This window comes from Homo sapiens, chromosome 1 (genome assembly GCF_000001405.40).
Source record: "Homo sapiens chromosome 1, GRCh38.p14 Primary Assembly".
Lineage (NCBI taxonomy): Eukaryota > Metazoa > Chordata > Mammalia > Primates > Hominidae > Homo > Homo sapiens.
Genome location: NC_000001.11, coordinates 37,570,856 through 37,591,108, shown reverse-complemented (window position 1 = coordinate 37,591,108; position 20,253 = coordinate 37,570,856). Strand labels below are relative to the sequence as shown.

The 20,253-nt window shown below is 42.6% G+C and overlaps 1 protein-coding gene across 4 annotated transcripts in view, besides 1 other annotated feature; it reads left to right on the top strand.

Annotated features, from left to right (window-relative positions):
• The window catches only part of GNL2 (G protein nucleolar 2), a 29,122-nt gene that overhangs the window by 4,829 nt on the left and 4,040 nt on the right, over positions 1-20,253 (top strand). Inside the window, exons 4-13 of one of the 4 annotated variants that reach the window (NM_001323623.2) lie at positions 264-403; positions 3,614-3,798; positions 7,176-7,242; positions 8,173-8,331; positions 8,773-8,886; positions 9,564-9,767; positions 14,553-14,681; positions 15,410-15,514; positions 16,286-16,444; positions 16,653-16,766. In NM_001323623.2, the coding sequence (NP_001310552.1) occupies positions 264-403; positions 3,614-3,798; positions 7,176-7,242; positions 8,173-8,331; positions 8,773-8,886; positions 9,564-9,767; positions 14,553-14,681; positions 15,410-15,514; positions 16,286-16,444; positions 16,653-16,766 (1,376 nt within the window). Of the gene's footprint in view, positions 1-263; positions 404-1,856; positions 2,150-3,613; positions 3,799-7,175; positions 7,243-8,172; positions 8,332-8,772; positions 8,887-9,563; positions 9,768-14,552; positions 14,682-15,409; positions 15,515-16,285; positions 16,445-16,652; positions 16,767-20,253 lie in introns of those variants that run through there. The other 3 variants (XM_024446591.2, NM_013285.3, NM_001323624.2) reach the window with 3 other exon arrangements.
• Positions 13,780-14,979: an enhancer, noted in NCBI's record as "P300/CBP strongly-dependent group 1 enhancer chr1:38041731-38042930 (GRCh37/hg19 assembly coordinates)". NCBI's record gives its function as "activates an origin of replication core promoter dependent on BRD2, BRD4, P300/CBP, MED14 and CDK7 cofactors, with strong dependence on P300/CBP, by STARR-seq in HCT116 cells {active_cell/tissue: HCT116}" and the evidence as "EXISTENCE:reporter gene assay evidence [ECO:0000049][PMID:35650434]".

Genomic DNA, 20,253 nt, shown 5'->3' with positions numbered 1-20,253 from the left:
TTCATTTAGTTAGGAAACTGGACTTGGAAAACTATTGAAACCCTTTGTGGGTCTGGATTTGTGGAATAGTTCATAGTGTGCAAGTGCGGGAGAGGCAGTTTTTTGGTTTTTTCCTCTTTTAAGTTTGAAAACAGCTCCAAGGGATGGATGGATCAGGTGCTTGGGTAAGTGAGGGTAATTTAAAATCTTGCCTTTCACCGTGTCAGTGGAAGATGGATGCGCAAATATTAACTAAGTGGCAACATTCTTTATTTGTAAAACAGGAAACACACGTGTGATTAAGCAGTCATCATTACAAAAATTTCAAGAGGAAATGGATACAGTTATGAAGGATCCATACAAAGTTGTCATGAAGCAAAGCAAGTTACCAATGTCTCTTCTCCATGATCGAATCCGGCCTCATGTAAGATGTAGGATATCCCTGGTGATGGAATTTCCTGGGCAAACTCCATGCAGATCCCTCTCTAACATATTTGTCTTTTGTTTTTCCTTAGAAAATAGTGACTTTAATGTAGCAATGATGAACTTTCTAAGACCTCTCTTTTCACCTTTTCATGTTTAGTATGAGGTGCAGTAGTGTAGTGGATCAAAGCACAGGTTTTGGAGTTGAGACCTGAATTTTAATCCTTGCTCTATCCCTTCCTGTGCCCTTAGTTGGGTTTCTCCATGAACTTTAACTTCTTTGCCTTGAAAGTATAGATAGGTCGGACACAGTGGCTCACGCCTGTAATCCCAGCACTTGGGAGGCTCAGGCAGGCGGATCACCTGAGGTCAGGAGTTTGAGACCAACCTGACCAACAAGAAGAAACCCTGTCTCTACTAAAAATACAAAATTAGCCAGGCGTGGTGGTGCATACCTGTAATCTCAGCTACTCAGGAGAGGCTGAGGCAGGAGAATCGCTTGAACCTGGGAGGCAGAGATTGCAGTGAGCCAAGATCGTGCCATTGCACTCCAGCCTGGGCAACAGGAGCGAAACTCCGTCTAAAAAAAACAGAAAGTATAGATAACCGACCTCCTTGGGTTATTGGCTACAGATGAAGCATCTGTAAAGCACTTGGCCCATAGTGAGCACATAGCACACCACCTAATAAGAGCTAAATTGATAACAGCTATTAGTAATATTATTTATTTTGGTAGGCAAACTTGTTTTAAGTGGTAATTCCATCAAACTTTGGGACAGCGTAGAATTAGGATTGAGTTGGTAGAACTTTGGTGTTGCGTACGTTCAGCTTTTGTGAGATCCTTGAGATTTTTTCTCAGCTGAAGGAAGGGGTGCTGGTCACATTGGTTGTCAATTGCTAAAATTTGAAGTGCAGTAAGGATTCAATCTGGGTTGAGTGGAATGAGTTTCACACAGAACAAAGAAAGAATCTGTTGTTTGTCTGCTTATTTTTACTTGCATTGAATAATAAATTCCCAGAAATGTAGCCAGTACGTAAGCTTCAGTTCCAGTATGAGGAGGGGAGAAAAACATTGACATGCATACGTGGGTTAAATAGTTCAGGCTGGGCGCGGTGGCTCACGCCTGAATCCCAGCACTTTGGGAAGCCAAGGCGGGTGGATCACAAGGTCAGGAGATTGAGACCATCCTGGCTAACACGTGAAATCCCGTCTCTACTAAAAATACAAAAAAAAATTAGCCGGGCGTGGTGGCGGGCACCTGTAGTCCCAGCTACTCAGGAGGCTGAGGCAGGAGAATGATATGAACCCGGGAGGCAGAGCTTGCAGTGAGCCGAGATTGCGCCACTGCGTGCCAGCCCAGGCGACAGAGCAAGACTCCGTCTCAAATAAATAAATAAAAATAAAATAGTTCAAAGAAAACTGTTTACTTGCAGAACAAAATAAAAACCAAGGCCTGGTTATTGCCTCAGGTTTTGTCAGTTATGTTTTGTTTTATGATGCACTAGAAGAATGGCACCTATTAGTAGAATGACTGTTTTCTTTCAGGGGAACACATGAGTGTAATTCATGAACCACAGACAAGTTGCTCATTTCCCTTGTTCTCTTTGTCTGTTCTCCCTAAAGCCATCTTTTAAGCAACTATTGAATCCTGTTTATGAGAAGAACAGAGAGGTTCTGTGATGGATTTATTGCTTCGTTGCCTGTACTTGTTGTCAGTGCTTCTAAAATTCAGTGTTTAAATATCTGGTATGTAGAATGAAGGGTCTGCAGTTGCACCAGTCAGCTTCTTTGTTGATGCAGAAAGCTGCTCAGAGTAATTGATGAGTTTTCTGCTTTGGCCTTGAAAAACCTTAACTATTTTATTTTAGTGTAATATCTATTACTTATAAAATCTAATTCTGAGATTATTTTGCACAGTGGAGTTAGATCAGATACGCATATTCATCTATATGTGTTTTAGAACTACTGTATTTCTGTAGCAATACAGTAAGAGTACTGTAACTTTGCATATGTGCTTTATATACTGTATATTACTGTGTTATACTTACTAATGTGTGTTATACTTACTAATGTGTAGGTTTATAGACATAAAGCCTTGGGTACTGTAACTTACAGGTTAAGAGATTTTGAAGGATAATTTTGGTCACACTTGATTTTACCCAGTGACATTAGACCCTATTTCCCATGTAAAATGAGCTGCTTCTGTTTGGAGATGCTCCCGAGTGGAACGTAGTGACTAAAACTAAACTGAGTTGTGGGTTAGGGCATCTGAGAAAATGATAATAGTTTAAGGATCTTTAGAAGTTGGAAGAGGGGATCTGTTAAAGTTCAGAAACCACAGGGGCTGCTGCATCATCCTCACAGCTTTTGGTAGTGGTGCTTACGGAGGAGCTTGTACTAGGGGGAAAAGGGTGATTTTTTTTTTTTTAATTGTCTGCAGGCTGTTAACATTCCGTTATGTGATAGATCCCAACTCTTTTATCTTGCTTCAGAAATTCCTATGCCTGTAACTCCTTTACAGGCACATCAAGTTCTAGTTAGTATCAGGTTCCTTTTATCACATCTAAACTATTATTTTGGACTTTTGCTAGATGTTTTTCATCCGAAGACTTGCCATGTGCATTTAATAAAAACGTTACCTAAATTAGGGAAAATGTTATCTGAAACTAAAATGCATCTTACAAAACAAGCAATTCCTTTTAGCCATGAAAGAAATTAACTTCCAAGAAAAAGTTGGCATTTACAGTTGGTTTAAAAAAAACTCACAAATTTGAGTATGATTGTCCTTGACAAAATCTATGAATTTGGCGAATTTTATGCTCTTGTTTGAAAGCTATAAAAAATGGTGGAAAAGATTAATTTTCACCACTGTAGCCTTAATTACATTTGACTGAAATTTATGATAAATGAAATAAAGCAGAGTTTTTGGCAAGTTTTTGTACAACTATTCATATTTACTTTGATTATTTGTATTACTTTTGTATTTCTCCAAGGAAGCTTACAGAACTTCAGAATAAGGGAACCAGTGTTTGTGCCATTTCAACAAGTAATTCTGATTTGAAACCAGACTGAAACCATGTCTTACAGATTTGGGTATGGGTTGAACCTTGGAAAAATAAAATCAGAAAGTCTTTCCTAGGTGGGTGTTGAGCTTTTTGCTTTTTCTCAGTGCTTTTCTTAGTTTTACCTGTTATTCTCCTTTCTCTTCAGAACTTGAAGGTGCACATTCTTGATACTGAAAGTTTTGAAACTACATTTGGCCCTAAGTCACAGAGGAAACGACCAAACTTATTTGCAAGTGATATGCAGTCTCTTATCGAAAATGCTGAAATGTCCACTGAGAGCTATGACCAGGGCAAGGATCGTGATTTGGTAACTGAAGACACTGGTGTGAGGTACATTTTTTTTTTTGCTTCTTTGTTTTTGTTTTTTTTTTTTTGAGATGGAGTCTTGCTTTGTCGCCCAGGCTGGAATGCAGTGGTGCGATCTTGGCCCACTGCAACCTCCGCTTCCCAGGTTCAAGCAATTCTCCTGCCTCAGCCTTTTGAGTAGCTGGGACTACAGGTGGATGCCTCCATGCCTGGCTAATTTTTTGTATTTTAGTAGAGACAAGGTTTCACCGTGTTGCCCAGGCTAGTCTTGAACTCGTGAGCTCAGGCAATCCACACTCCTTGGCCTCCCAAAATGCTAGGATTACAGGTGTGAGCCACTGCACCCGGTCGAGGTACAGTTTTGAAGTTCATGCAAATCTCATCATTTGCTCTTCTGCAACAAAACATTTTCTTTCAACTTATTTTGCCTGTGTGAAGCTCAGTGCTTTAACTCATATATGGAGTTATCTTCTTCCCTCAGACTGGAGACGTTGGTGAAATTGGGGCTAGACTGAAGATGTCTAAGGTGGCTTGATTGACAAAGGTCTCTCCTCATCCCCAAAATAAATAACATTTTTTCATTTATAATAGTAATACACCAGTCATAGACAAATTAGGAAATATAGTTAAGTTGGAAAATACAACAAAAAGAACATAACTCATGATCCCATTGCTGATATTAAGCATTGTTAATGCCTCTGTGAATATCGGGGCTTCCTTAACTGGAGGTCTCTGAGTTAATGGATGGCCTGTAAGGTTTCTTTGACTCTTTGAAGAAAATGTGGAAAATTTGTGAGCTTACATAAAGGCAGTAGGGTTTTGTGTTTTTTGTTTTTGTTTTGGGGAGGAGGAGGAGGAGAGGAAGTATCTATAATTTTAATCATATTCTCGTAGGGATCCATACTCAAAAGGAGAATCAGTCACCGGCTGGCTGCAGTGGCTTACCTGTAATACTAGTTTTTTGGGAGGCTGAGGCAGGAAGATCGCTTGAGCACAGGAGTTTGAGACCAGCCTGGGCAACATAGTGAGACCTTGTCTCTACAAAAAATAAAAAATTGGCTGGGCATAGAGTCCCAGCTACTCAGAAGGCTGAGGTGGGAGGATCACTGGAGCCCAGGAATTTGAGGCTGCAGTAAGCTGTGATTATTAGGAATATATTTCTATGTCAGTACATAATCAACAATAATATAATATTTATTGTCAGAGTAGTATTTTGTTTGTTATGGCCAGTCTCATTGTTGGACATTTATACTGTGTATAGTTTTTCCTTATGGTGAACAACACAAGGATGAAGCATCAATGTGACCGCATCTTTTTCATCCTTAATTATTCCCCAAAGATAAGTTCTTACGGAGCAAAGCATGATATCAAAAGGTATGCATGCTTTTTGATAGGCAGCTGCCACATTGCTCTTGAGAAAGGGTTTAATTTCATTTCCCTTGGGCAGTGCTAGAAAGCTCTCATTCTCGTCCATCTCATGTCTCTTAAATGAAGTGGAGGTTTTGCTGTCTTAGTGAAGAGGCATTGTCCTTTGACTGCATCAGTGTTATTACCTCATTGCTATTGTCAGCCCATCTTCAAGCATTGGGCCACCTAGAGATAAAATGTCAAGCCATTTGAGGCCAAGCAAAAAGAGGCAGTGAGTTCATTTATTTGTTCTTAGAATTATTTGAACTTTCGTTGGCTTTGTATTCTGCCGATTTGAATTTTTCCTTCCGCAACAGGTATAGTAGGTAATGCAGTAAAGACAAAACTATTTTTGTTTACCTTGGGTAAATGTCCTAGAGACTAGTAAATAAACAGATTCTAAACCTTATCAGAAAAATACTGCTGTATATGGGAGCTATGGAGTATAGGTTGTGATTCAGGTCCTGCCAATTCCATTTTGTAATTCTCTGTGACATACTGCCTAATTCAGTCATGCTTTTTTTTAGTTTAATGTTTTATTGTGGTAAAATATATGTAACAAAAAATGTGGCCAGACGCAGTGGCTCACACCTGTAATGCTAGCACTTTGGGAGGCTGAGGCGGGCGGATCACCTGAGGTCAGTAGTTTGAGACCAGCCTGACCAACATGGTGAAACCCAGTCCCTACTAAAAATACACAAATTAGCTGGACGCAGGGGCGCACACCTGTAGTACCAGCTACTTGGGAGGCTGAGGCTGGGGAATCGCTTAAACCCGGGAGGCGGAGGTTGCAGTGAGCCAAGATCGCACCACTCATTCCAGCCTGGGCGACAGAGCGAGACTCCGTCTCAAAAAAAAAAAAAAAAAAGTACTCTTCTAACCATTTGATGTGATCTCGGCTCACTGCAATCTCTGCCTCCCGGGTTCAAGCGATTCTCCAGCCTCAGCCTCCCGAGTGGCTGGGATTACAGGTGCCCGCCACCACGTCTGGCTAATTTTTTTGTATTTTTAGTAGAGACAGGGTTTCACCATGTTGGTCAGGCTGGTCTCGAACTCCTGGCCTTATGATCCACTGCCTCAGCCTCCCAAAGTGCTGGGATTACAAGTGTGAGCCACTGTGCCCAGCTCTTCTAACCATTTTCAAGTGTACAGTTTAGTGATACTAAGTTCATTTACATTGTTGTGCAATCATTGCAGCTATCCATCTCCAGAACTTTTTCATCATCCCAAACTGAAACCCTGTACCCATTTAACACTAACGGTCCGTTTCCCCTCTCCCCCAGCCCCTGGTAACAACATTCTACTTTCTCTCTCATGAATTTGACTGGTTTAGGTGCCTAATATAAGTGGAATCATACAGTATTTGTCCTTTTGTGTCTGGCTTATTTCACTTAGCATAATGTCTTCAAGGTTCATTCGTGTTGTAGCAGGTGTCAGAATTTTCTTCTTCTTTTTTTTTTTTTTTTAATTAATTATTTTTTGAGACAGGGTCTTGCTCTGTCACCCAGGCTGGAGCAGTAGCCTGCTCATGGCTCACTGCAGCCTCAACCTCCTGGGCTCAAGGAGTTCTCCCACCCCAGTCTCCCCAGTAGCTGGGATTACAGGCATGCACCACTATGCCCAGCTAATTTTTGTATTTTTTGTGGAGATGGGGTTTTGCCATGTTGCCCAGGCTGGTCTCGAACTCCTGGGCTCAAGCAGTCTGCCCTCCTTGGCCTCCCAAAGTGCTGGAATTACAGGTGTGAGCCACTGAGCCAGCTGGAATTTCCTTCTTTTTTAAAGTTGAATGCTATCTTGTGTATATATGTGCCACATTGTGTTTATCCATTTATTTGTTGACAGACATTTGGGCACACTTTTTAAATTCAGTTTGTTTCTGGTCCATCTCCAACTGGGTTTGATACTGTTTTTTTTGGTACATTGACTTTACCCTAAAGCATCCTTTTAGTCTTGATGGTGCTTCAGTTGCTCATTTGGGGTGCTTTCTTATTTAGAAATGAAGCTCAAGAAGAGATCTATAAAAAGGGACAGTCCAAAAGAATATGGGGTGAGCTCTACAAGGTAAGACTCCTAAATTCTCTCCCATTGAGTGGTTCCTTGGGCTTTCATGATTTTGTAGAAGAAAACTAATTTTGATATATTGAAGCTCTGTTGCGCAGAGTACAGGCACCACTGCCTGTTCCATCCTCTTCCTCCTACAAAGAAACTCGGAAGGCGTACTACCATTGATCTAGGTAACTGCATTTTTTAAAGTACTTGTATAAGAGTAACAGCTATCTTTTATTATACAATCACATATTTATTACCTGTCAGTATTTTTTAAGATTTCCTGCCAAATTTATCATGCCTAGTTAAAGTCACATGCAACATTTTAAGTTATTTAGTCCACCCCTCTCCTTTTATCGATGAGGACTCCTGTCTAGAAAGGTTTAATGCTGTACCTAGCTCGACTAGCTTGTTAGTGAAGGAGGCTTTGTATATCTTGATTTCTGATCCAGTGATCTTTAACCGGCAGAGGTTTATGTCCATGCACTAATAATAACCTTCAGAAGAAAAATTTTCAAGTATAATCACGTAATTAAATAGTAACATGATAGGAAACTAGTACCGTGAAGGCAAGCTAAACTTTGTAGTTTTTTGTGAAATACACAAAACCTATAATATTACAAACTTAAAGATAATATTACAAACTTAAAGAAGTCTAAGAAGTAAATGATTTAGTTCAATAATCCATAGTAGTTAGGAAATAAGTTGAGTTTCATCTAAGCTAGTTTTTCTGTTTTAAATTCAGCAGGTTTCAAAAGCCACAGGATGAAAAACCTTTTGAATTCTGATCACTGGGCCTTGAGATTAGCCACAACGAACTCTGCCCAGAGACTGTTTTGAAGTTGTCTCTAAATATTATTATTTTATTTTTCCCAGACTCCCTTAAATGTCATCCCTCTTTTATTTGTACTGTAGCAAACCATTTTTGCCTTTCTGAATTTTCAGGTGATAGATTCATCAGATGTTGTAGTTCAAGTTCTTGATGCTAGAGATCCAATGGGTACTCGTTCCCCTCACATTGAAACTTACCTGAAGAAGGAAAAACCTTGGAAACACCTCATTTTTGTACTTAACAAATGTGACCTTGTTCCAACCTGGGCAACAGTAAGTACAACTACTAAACCAGAATAGACTATTAAGACATCTGTTAGTAAGTCAGTTGTAGGGCTTTTAGGCTAAAGTGTTGTCCGGCTGAGATTGTAGTAATGGGAGTGCTCTCATTGGAAACACGAAAGTGTGCTCATTGATAGTGGGCAGAGGCACCAGGAGACGGCTTCTGAGGCCACTGCCTGCTTCACATTATGCTCCATTAATTGCATTTAGTAACAATGAAGACATTTTTTGGAATATTGTTTTGTATTTATAAGACAGAAGAACAAAGCATTAACTGTTATACTTGGAAAAAACATTTCAAAGAATTATAGCTAACATTTTCCTTAGACAACAGTATATTTGAAACAGTTCTGTAATTCAAGCTCTGATTCTTCCACATAATGTAAATAAATGTACTGCAGTTTACCAAAATGTTTTCATCTCTCCTTCTAGAAACGGTGGGTTGCTGTCCTCTCCCAGGATTATCCAACACTTGCTTTCCATGCAAGCCTTACTAACCCGTTTGGCAAGGGAGCATTCATTCAGCTTCTGCGGCAGTTTGGAAAGGTATTGAGCCCTGATCTGTTTCTCCTGGAGTTGTGTAGCTGTGAGTTGGTATAAGAATCTGTCTTGCCATGGCATAGCAGAAAGTTGCCAACTTCTTAGCCGGACGTGGTTGCGCAGGTCTGTAGTCCTAGCTACTCAGGACGCTGAGGCAGGAGGATTGCTGGAGCCCAGGAGATCAAGGCTACAGTGAGCTATGATGGCACCACTGCACTCCAGCCTGGGTAACAGAGCAAAACCCTGCCTCTAAAAAAAAAAGATGTGGCCGGGCGCGGTGGCTCACACCTGTAATCCCAGCACTTTGGGAGGCCGAGGCAGGCAGATCACAAGGTCAGGAGTTTGAGACCAGCCTGGCCAATATGGTGAAACCCCGTCTCTACTAAAAATACAAAAATTGGCCAGGCATGGTGGCACACGCCTGTAGTCCCAGCTACTGGGGAGACTGAGGCAGGAGAATCGCTTGAACCTGGGAGGCGGAGTTTGCCGTGAGCCGAGATTGCGCCACTGCACCCCAGCCTGGGCGACAGAGCGAGACTTCTCAAAAAAAGAAGAAGAAGATGTAAAAACTTCCAGAGATGTAAAAACTCACAGAGCATCAGGATTATAAGAGATTCTGAAGTGTTTTCTTGCTCAGCCTTTGCCCCCATCCGTGACCAGTGTTGCTTCCATTTCTGCCACAGCCCTGGCACCTGACGTTCCACGCTCTGCTGGGCTTTCCAGGCCTGCTGTGCATCCTCTGCCCATGGAGCCCATGCAGCTTCTATGTCCTCTGGTTGGAGAGGGCCCTGCCAAAATTCAAGCTTCAGATCCCTGGTCAGACGTCAGCTCCTGAGGGAAGCCGTGGAACCAGACTACCCTATCAAATTCTTAAAGCTTCATGTTCTGTACCTGTCATTTTGAATTTGTCTATTTAGTTAATTCTACCTGGCTTCTAACAAAAGACACATGTCTGCTGTCCCACCCTTCCCCACTTTACAGAAGCAAATGCTTCCAATAGCCATTAGTTCTGTTATTTTCCTCCATATTTTTAGTACATGCTTATGATTTTCTTGATCTGTGCCCACCCCTCACCCCCAGTTTAAGATGCTTATTAATTTCTTACTATGGAAAATGAGGATTTGCTATCTTATAGCCATCCTCTCTCTGTATGTACTTCCCCCTGTATTGTTAGATGCCAATGTTGGGTTACAGTATTATTCATTCAGTGTTGGTTGGTTGTTGTTGTTGTTTTAACTTGGAAAGGAGAGCTTTATTTCTCATAAAGGGTTGCAGCCTGCAGGGTGGCCACTCTAACAGGCTGGGAAGAGTAGTCTTGGCCATTCAGTCTTTACATTGTCATGACTGTAAAATATTAGTCACAGCTGATCCACATGGTGTGCTATGAGTATAATTCCTTTCTGATCGAAGCTTTTATTTTCGCTAGTGTTACTTTGCTGTGTTCTATTTGTATCTGTCACTATCATACTACCAAATTCTCTGATACAGTGGGAACTGTCAGAGCTTCCAGGCAGCACAGGTAGTTCCCTTCGGTGGCCAGCACTCCGTCCTCCGCAGGGCTGGCCGCTCTCCAGGCTGCTGCAGCGTCGTCTTTCTGGGATTTCCTTTCACTGTCATCCAGAGAATTCCCATGGCTGTTTTCCTGTATGGGACCTCTTATTTATAGGACCTCTTTTCTTCTTTTCTGGTTTACTCCTTTCTTTCCATGGGACATATTTTCCAAAAGTTTCCTGAGAAGGAATACTTGGAAAGAACATTTTTTTGAGATACGCCTTGCGTTCTGAAAATATCTTTATTAAGATCTTTATTCTACCCTTTATGCTGTTTTTCCTCAGAATACTGAGGTTACCACTGCACTGTCTTCTGAATTCTGAGGAATCTGAGGCCATTCTGACCCCTCATACTTTGTGTGGCTGTGATTTCTTGTTTTGAGACAGGGTCTTGCTTTGTCACCCAGGCTGGAGTGTGGTGGCACAACCACAGCTCACTGTAACCTCAAACTCCTAGGCCCAAGCGATCCTCCTGCCTCGTTTTGGCCTCCTGAAGTGCTGGGATTACAGGTGTGTGCCACCACGCCCAGCCAATCTTTTCTTATTCTAAAATTTAAAATTTCTCTTGTTCTAAAATTTCACAGTGGTGTGTCTTGAAGTGGGCCTTTTATTGCTCAGTGAGCTTGGCGTTTGATGAGACTTTAGTCTGATATTGTCTTACATTATTTCTTTGAAATTTTCTTTCCTCCCTCAGTTGTCTGTATTCTTGTTCAGAAATTTGCTTTTACCTCCTGGTTTAATTCTTGATTTATATTTGCTTTCTTTTTTTTTTTTTTTTTTTTTGAGGCAGAGTCTCACTCTTGTCACCAGGCTGGAGTGCAGTGGTGTGATCTCGGCTCACTGCAGCCTCCGCCTCCCGGGTTTAAGCGATTCTCCTGCCTCAGCCTCCCGAGTAGCTGGGACTGCAGGCACACGCCACAACGCGCAGCTAATTTTTGTATTTTTAGTAGAGACGGGTTTTCACCATGTTAGCCAGGATGGTCTTGATCTCTTGACCTCGTGATCCGCCCGCCTCAGCCTCCCAAAGTGTTGGGATTACAGGCATGAGCCACTGCACCTGGCCTATATATTTTTTCTTTTGGTACATATATGACATTTTCCTCTATTTTCTGGGTACTTTTTTTTTTTTGTGAGACAGAGTTTTGCTCTTGTTGCCCAGGCTAGAGTGCAATGGCGCGATCTCGGCTCACTGCAACCTCCTCCTCCCAGGTTCAAGCAATTCTCCTGCCTCAGCCTCCCGAGTAGCTGGGATTACAGGCATGTGCCACCACACTTGGCTAATTTTGTATCTTTAGTAGAGACGGGGCTTCTCCGTGTTGGTCAGGCTGGTCTCAAACTTCCGACCTCAGGTGATCCGCCCCCCTCGGCCTCCCAGAGTGCTGGGATTACAGACGTGAGCCACTGCTCCCGGCCACTTTCCTTGTTTTGATCATCCAGCTGCCCAGTCACAAAATTTATTTTGCCAATTGCTTTTAATTTTTAATTTCTGAGAGCTCTTGTTGAATTCTGATTTGCTCTGCCTCCTTTTACATCTTATTTCACAGTCACAGTATCATTAATGACGTTTTGAAATTTTCCTGTCTGCATTGATTCTGTTACCTCCAAATTTTTGTGGGTTTTTTTGTGTTTTCTGCTACAGTCACGCTTAAAAATTTTTTCTTTTACTTTAAAAATTTTTTTGAGACAGGGTCTTGTTCTGTCTTAACCCAGGCTGAAGTGCAGTGGTGCGATCATGGCTCACTGCAGCCTCGACCCGCAAGTAGAGTCAACTTAAATGTTTATTCTTGGTTCTCTATTTATATTTAAGAGTAAGGCATTAGGCCAGGTAGAGTGGCTCATGCCTATAATCCCACCACTTTGGGAGGATGAGGCAGGCAGATCGCTTGAGCTCAGGAGTTCTAGACGAGCCTGGGCAATATGGCAAAACTCCATCTCTACAAAAGATAGAAAAAAATTAGCAAGGCATAGTGGTGCACACTTATGGTTCCAGCTACCCAGGAGGCTGAGGCAGGAGGATTGCTTGAGCCCAGGAGACAGAGGCCGCAGAGAGCTGTGATTGTGTCGCTGTACTTCAGCCTGGTTGACAAGGGAAGACCCTGTTTCAAAAAAAAAAAGAGTAAGGCATTAAAAAGCTGATAGGTTCTTTTTTTTCTCCATGGAGTGGCCTTGTTGACTGATAGACTTCATTGTAAGGTGATTAAATAGGGACTCTAATTTAATTTAATTTTTTTTTTTTTTTTGAGACAGAGTCTTGCTCTATTGCCCAGGTTGGAGTGGAGTGGCCTGATTTAGGCTCACTGCAATCTCCGCCTCCTGGGTTCAAGCAATTCTCCTGCTTCAGCCTCCCAAGTAGCTGGGAGTACAGGCAAGCACCACCAGACCTGGTTAATTTTTGTATTTTGAGTAGAGTTGGGGTTTCACCATGTTGGCCAAGCTGGTCTCAAACTCCTGACCTCAAGTGATCTGCCCACCTCAGCCTCCCAGAGTTCTGGGATTACAGGCATGAGCCACTGTGCCTGACTGGGACCCAAATTTTTTGTTGGGAGGACATCCTGTAGATACCAGTGTCTGTAGGTCTTTTTTCTTGGGCTTGTGAGTTTCCCCAGAAGAGAATCTTTCAATCTCTAGCTCTAGGGGTATAGAATCCTGGCTGCTAGAGTTCTGGGAACTCAGTGGGAATAGTAGACTGGGCATCTCACTATTGAATACTTAGATTTTCAATTAATCATTCTGGGAATACTGTTATTATCTCTAAATCCAGGATCCCTTTCAAGTCTGAAGATTACAGATACTTTCAAACATGTGACATTTCAAAAAATCCAAAAGCCACTTTCATAGGCCCTGGATTTCTTTGAGAGTAGAGAAGTTGTGTGCCCACCCTGAATGAGGGAGGGGATGGAGAAGTGTGGCTGCTTTGGCAGACTATCTGCTGGTCCTTGTTTTCAGCCCTATCTTAAGAGGGATCTACCACCAATTCCCAGTGATTCCCAATGAATCTCTGTGATTCATTGTCATTATTATTGCTGGATCTTTAGTTTTTCTATCTTTACAACCACTTAGCTTTTATATTTTGTAATGGGCCAAGTTTGATACTACTTTTAAGCATCTAGTATTTTGTTTAACATCACTTTAGTTTTTGTTGTCTCATCTCCATCTCATTCTCTGGTTCAGTATGTTTGGTTCTATTGGTTTAAAAGTGTTAATGTCCACTGCTGTCATTCTAGTGGAGTTGGTGAGGGAACGGGGTTAGCATGTATGTTCAGTCCACCATCTTTAATCGGAAGCCTCCATTCGTTTGTAGGCCCTCTTCTTGATAGCAAGCTCTGCCTTTTTGAGACTTTCACCCTGTAGTCGTAACTTTCAAGGTTGCTTTTTTTCTTTTGTTATTTATTTTTGGCAGTGGAAATGCAGATGTATTATGCAAAGAAAAGGGGGGGTGAGTTGTGGGATTGTCCAGTTGATGAACCTGTTCATATTCTTTTTCCCGAAGATGTTTTATCAATAGATGGCATTGTTCTAAATCAGTGACTAACAAGCTGTTTTTCTTCTTTTGTTTCTTTTTTTTTTTTTTGAGACTGGAGTCTCTGTCACCCAGGCTATAGTGCAGTGCATGATCTTGGTTCCCTGCAACTTCGGCCTCCCAGGTTCAAGCGATTCTCCTGCCTCAGCCTCCCAAGTAGCTGGGATTACAGGCTTGCGCCACCATGCCTGGCTAATTTTTGTATTTTTAGTAGAGACAGGGTTTCATCATGTTGGCCAGGCTGGTCTCGAACCCCTGACCTCAGGTGATCCGCTCTCCTTGGCCTCCCAAAGTGCTGGGATTACAGGCGTGAGCCACTGTGCCGAGCCTTCTTTTATTTCTTGACCTACATACTTTTAACCTTAACACATACAAGGATAATTTCACTTGCATGACTGAGGAAATGACTCACCTCTGATTTATTAATAAGCATATGTATCCAGCTTACTCAGATTATGTAGGTGGTGTGTATCTAGGCTTCAGATCAAGTTGTATCAACAGTTTTGCACTGTATTCTTGATATTAACAAAGTAATACAACCTACTTGTCCAAAGGGATATATATGACTGCATGTATGTGCTGTGTATTCTCTCTTTGAACAGTTGCACACTGACAAGAAACAGATCAGTGTTGGGTTCATTGGCTATCCAAATGTTGGCAAGAGCTCTGTGATAAATACATTGCGTTCTAAGAAAGTTTGCAACGTGGCTCCCATTGCAGGTGAAACAAAGGTACGTTGGGCGCAGGGTGACCTTACTTTTGCATATTTTCTTTTCATAGAGAGTGATTGTTTAGGACTTGTTGATTTCTCTCTGCTTCTCTTGAATGCAGACCACCACTAGGAGTTTAGCTCACCATATAATAGTTTGGAACGTATCAGAGTTGTTTCTGCCCACTTTGATAAGACTGAGAGTATTTTATATGCCCCCGTGTGGCTTTGGCCTGTGTTAGTTAATGTGATTCATATTTAGATCTGTTTTAAATTATCACTCCAGCCTTTTATTTTGATAAACAAAACTAACCCAAGAATATTTGATGCCTGGGTTAAGAAGCCTCAAACTTAAGGTAGGTTCTGAAAGTTGGGGGTCATATCCTAGAACACATAGTGGGGAACAGCATGGTTTTGCTTAAAGGCAATGAGGTCAAGCAGTACTAAGCTCTCAAGAGTACTTCTAAAACTCAGGAAAGGTTCACCGGGTATAATTGCACAATACGAGATGGAAATCCTGTCTCTGTGTTGTTTTTAGACTCTTAGCTGATGGAAACTATAGTTTACACTTAGTGGAAGTATCTTGTGCACGGCACAGATGAGAGAGTTAGTAGCTTAATTACTTAGCGCGTTGCTTTTCTTTGACTCACCCCTTCCTCCTTTCCAGCTTCATACATGAGCATCAGGGGTTTGTGAAATTAGACTCTTAGTGTTTGATACAGGACATCTCTGACTTTTTTCTGACTTCAGGTCTGGCAGTATATTACTTTGATGCGTCGGATATTCCTGATTGACTGTCCAGGTGTGGTTTACCCCTCTGAGGACTCCGAGACAGACATTGTGCTAAAAGGAGTTGTGAGTATTTGGCCCTGATAGGCTGTTTGTGTTTGCGGGGGAGTGTTCTATAGGGAACCCTGGATACCTTTCCTTTTTACTTATTAAGAAGGCAGTTTGGGGTCAGCCTGTCTGACCAAACTTTAGGAACATGATGCTGAACAGCAGCCTCTCAGCATAAGCTGTTTGAGGAATTAGTGGAACCATGGGCATATCTGGTCAATATCATCCCACAAAAGAGTTTGTAGTTTACACACAGGATCCAAAGGGAAGCAGGGCCTGTTTATGCTTAGCGATAATTCGTCTTCGTGGGTTTATGGGTTGAGTCATTTTGGAACCCAGTCATTTCCTCACTTGTTTCTGAATACGACTGAAAAACTGTAAATGGTTCCACTTAACCTTGACCATGCTTCTGGCTATACATCCTGTACACATTCCTCCTCTCCTTTCTTAAACTATTCCATTATTTTTGTGTCCTGGGATGGGCAGGCTTTTAACCATTTCTGCAAGTGAGTAACATGAAGCATTCCAAGTTTAAACTGTGGCAGCCACACAGTTAGTTTGTGGTGAGTGGGGATTAAAGCTGAGTTCTGGGCTCCGTGGCTATGGTCAGCTTTCAGCAGTGCTCCTTGCAGCTGACCATGTCTAGCCCCGTCAGAGACAGGCTCCTGCCAATCTCCACGAGCTTTGTGATGTTGAAGTCTATTTTCAAATAGTGCTGCAAAGGACACTGGGAACTTCACTGCTTCCACAACAAAGTTTGTAAGTGAGAGATTTCCTATTAACATTTAGGTTCAAGTAGAAAAAATTAAGAGTCCTGAAGACCACATTGGTGCTGTACTTGAACGAGCAAAGCCAGAATATATCAGCAAAACATACAAGATTGATTCTTGGGAGAATGCTGAGGACTTTCTTGAGAAGCTCGCTTTCCGGACTGGGAAGTTACTAAAGGTGACCCGGCGTTTGTGAGAATTTAGACTGATACTTGTCACAAGCATGTATGTATATGATATGGGCCTTTTTTTGGTATGCATGTATGAGCAGTGTGAAACTTGTCACTTAAGTGATGATGAACCCCTGGGACAACTGAAATACCCCCAAAGTGGTAGGTGGTTTTGGTCCTTTGAATTTAATTGGGAATCTCTTTGTGACCTTTCAGGGTGGAGAGCCCGACTTGCAGACTGTGGGTAAGATGGTCCTCAATGACTGGCAGAGGGGCCGGATTCCTTTCTTTGTCAAGCCACCCAATGCAGAGCCACTTGTGGCCCCCCAGGTAAGAGCAGGGTGGGCCCACCTCTGGGGAGCATGGGTCCTGACCTAGATTTGGTGTAGCTTGTGATTGTCTCTCTTCATAGAGCGTGTATTCATTCAGCTGCGGTGTCTCTCATTTTATTATTTTTTTAAATATATAAAAATATTTTTGGGGCCGGGCATGGGTGGCTCACGCCTGTAATCCCAGCACTTTGGGAGGCCGAGGTAGGTGGATCACAAGGTCAGGAGTTCAAGACCAGCCTGACCAATATGGTGAAACCCTGTCTCTACTAAAAATACAAAAATTAACCTAGCATGATGGCACGCTCCTGTAGTCCCAGCTACTCGGGAGGCTGAGGCAAGAGAATTGCTTGAACCCAGGAGACAAGTTGCAGTGAGCCGAGATCGTGCCACTGCACTCTAGCCTGGGCAATAGAGGGAGACTCCATCTCAAAAAAATAAAAAAAAATTTTTTTGAGGGTGAAGCACTGTTGGGAGCCACTGCTGGCCCATGGCGATCACTCCACCCTCTCTCATTCTAGAGTGCCAGTGCCATGGCCTTGCTAGGGGGTGCATTTGGAGACTAATAAGTAGACATATGAGAGAAGACCAAACTTAGATACTAGCCTTTAGGGCCTTGGAAAAAGAGGGCTCATTAAATGTAAGTGATCTTCTGGTACCTGTATCTTTTCTTATGCTTACGAAACAGAATCATTGCTAAGATAACATTTGTTTAACAAACATTTATTAGCATCGACTATGTGCCAGGCACAGGGAATATAGGAACGAAAAACAGCCCTGGCCCTCAAAAAACCTGTGATCCAGTGGGAAAGGAGAGTGGTACTACTGATAGTCGGAGAAAGAAGACTGAAGGCTGGGGCCAGAAGCTCTCCTACTATCCCCATTTCCCTCACCCTGGCAGTGGGCCGCCACAAGGCTCAACGTTAACGTTTTGCCTTTCTGGTTCTAGGACCTTTTTCAGAACCCAGCCAAGTCTCTTGAAATGGTGGCTTCAAATTGTGCATCTATGCTTGCTAGTGTCGTTGGGTCCATACAGTGCTGGTTTCCTCTCACCTGACCCCATTCCAAGTTGCAGTTGCAGCTAGGTATTTTCAGTTGAATGTATTCTGCAGCATTTGAAAGTTAGCCTGAAACTGATGTTAATTGACATTCTCCCTTCTCCCTGCCCAAACCATCAAACAACCAAACAAAAATTTCTCTCCCTCTTCATGTGTATTGCATCTTTCATTCATTAATTCACTGATACATTCACCCAGCAATCCCATATTGAGTGTCTCCTGTTGGCCACAGACTCTTCTGGGTACTGGTGGTGCTGTGGTGAGAAACTGACAAGCTGCTGCTCTCCTGCACATATATTCCAGCAGGGGAGTGTGTGGTTTCTTCTGACACCAAATACATAATTTTTTTCCATATCAGTTCTGCAGTTCTCAGATACCAGCTGAGTGTCCCAACAATTTAATTCAGTTGTGACACTAACTCCCGGAGTTAGCACAGACCCCACAAGTTAAGGACTAGGTCCCCTGCTTCAGATGGCAGCTTCAGGCTATCCACACTTACGCCCGGCTAACTACAAATTCAGGGGTTCTGGGGTTTGATAATTTGCCAGAAGGACTCCCAGAACCCAGGAAAGTGCTGTGTTTACAATTAACGGTTTATGATAAAGGATGAAACTCAGTCACAGCCAGTGGAAGAGGTGCACAGGGTAAGGTATGGGGGAGAGGCACAGAGCTTCCATGCCCTCTCCACACATTGATGTGTTCAGCAACCCAGAGCTTTCCAAACCCCATCATGTAGGGGTTTTTATGGAGGTTTCATTACATAGACATGACTGATGAAATCTGTGGCAGTTGGTGATAGACTCAATTTCTGGTCTCCCTTCTCTCCTCTGAGTGGCTGAAAGCACCAACCATGTGGTCAAGTGCTTTGTCTTTCTGGTGACCAGCGCATCCCCCATCCTGAAGCTATCTAGGGGTCTACCATGAGTCACCACATTAGCATAAACTCAGGTGTGGTGGAAAGGGGCTTGTAATCAATAAAAAAGATACCCATCGCTTGGGAAATTCCAAGGGTCTTAGGAGCTCTGTGCCAGGAAGTGTGACATTTATATCACAGGGAGACAGTAGGCAGATAAACATATAATGTCAGGAAGTCTTGCGTGCTGTGAGGAAAACTAAACCAGGCTAAGGGGTTTGGGGGAGATGAGGAGTACTTTGGGGTGGTCGGGGAAGGCCTCTGAGGCAGTGGCACTTCAGCAGAGCCCTTAATATGAGACAGGAGCCATGCTAGTATCTAGGGAGAATGTTCCAGGCAAGGGGAACAGCACATCCAGAGCAGCTGGGGCAGGAGTATGCTCTGTGTGTCCTGATGCTGAAAGGAGGTCACTGTGGCTGGAATGTCGTGGGCCAGGAGAGGGTGTCATGGTGGGAAGCCATTGGAGGTTTTGAGTTAGCAGCTGGATTCTAGGGTCATTCTGGATGTCCGTATCACTGCTGTCTTGGGACCCTGTGTGGAAACACTGGCATTGTCTTCAGCCCTTCCTCCGTATGTAGTCAGTAAGTGTAGATAAGTAGTTCAGATAATTCTTAAGAACTATTGTAACCATAATAGATTTGTTGCCCAATGCACACAGCAAGTCAATATGCTGAGACACCACCAGGTTGCAGCAGAGAAAGAAGTTTAACCGTAGGGTCACCAAAGGAGGAGATGGGAGGAATCCTGAAATCATTTCCACGAGGAGTTTGGGGTTAGGGTTTTAAGGGTTTTGGAGTGGGCTGGAGTGAGGGTCATTGGTTGGGTGAAGAGTGCAGGGTGAAGTCACGGACAGGGAGATGAAGAAGCTGTGTTCTCATGCAGATCCCGTTTCTCTGGGGATCTTCAAACTGGTTGCTGGAATTAGGGATCTGAAAAGACATTTTAAGCAATCCTTAAACAAAAACCTTATGATTCTAATGTCAGAGATCTTGCCTATAGGAACAATGGGGGTGCATATCAATTCTTACATAGTCTTATGACCCAAATGTCAGAAATCCTATCTATAGGGACAGTGGGGATGCAAATGGTCAGTACCTAGTGTTCAGGAACTTTTAGCAACAAGGATATGGGCCAAAGTGCCCCCTAATTAGTGCTTAATTATAATTGTATTTCTGTCCAGAACTTGGCAGATACTTCTTGTCAACCCTTTGGAGGCAGTTTCACTCTCATATGCCTTACTCTGTGATTCTGTTTTTCTTTTTTGGTTAAGAGCAGAAACCCCTTCAGAAACTGAAAGCCAAAAATTGCCCTTCCTAGAAAAATGTATGTATAAATTTTGTGTGTGGTTTCCTGAATTTTATAGTTCTGTACTTATTTAGTGATTTGCCCGGCCACTCTTGACTTTAGAACATCACTTTTAAGTTCTCTGAGTTTTTGTTGCAAGGATAAAATGATATTATACATGTGAAACACCAGTAGAAAGCTTGGCACATACTTATCTTTGCGGTTACCTAAAA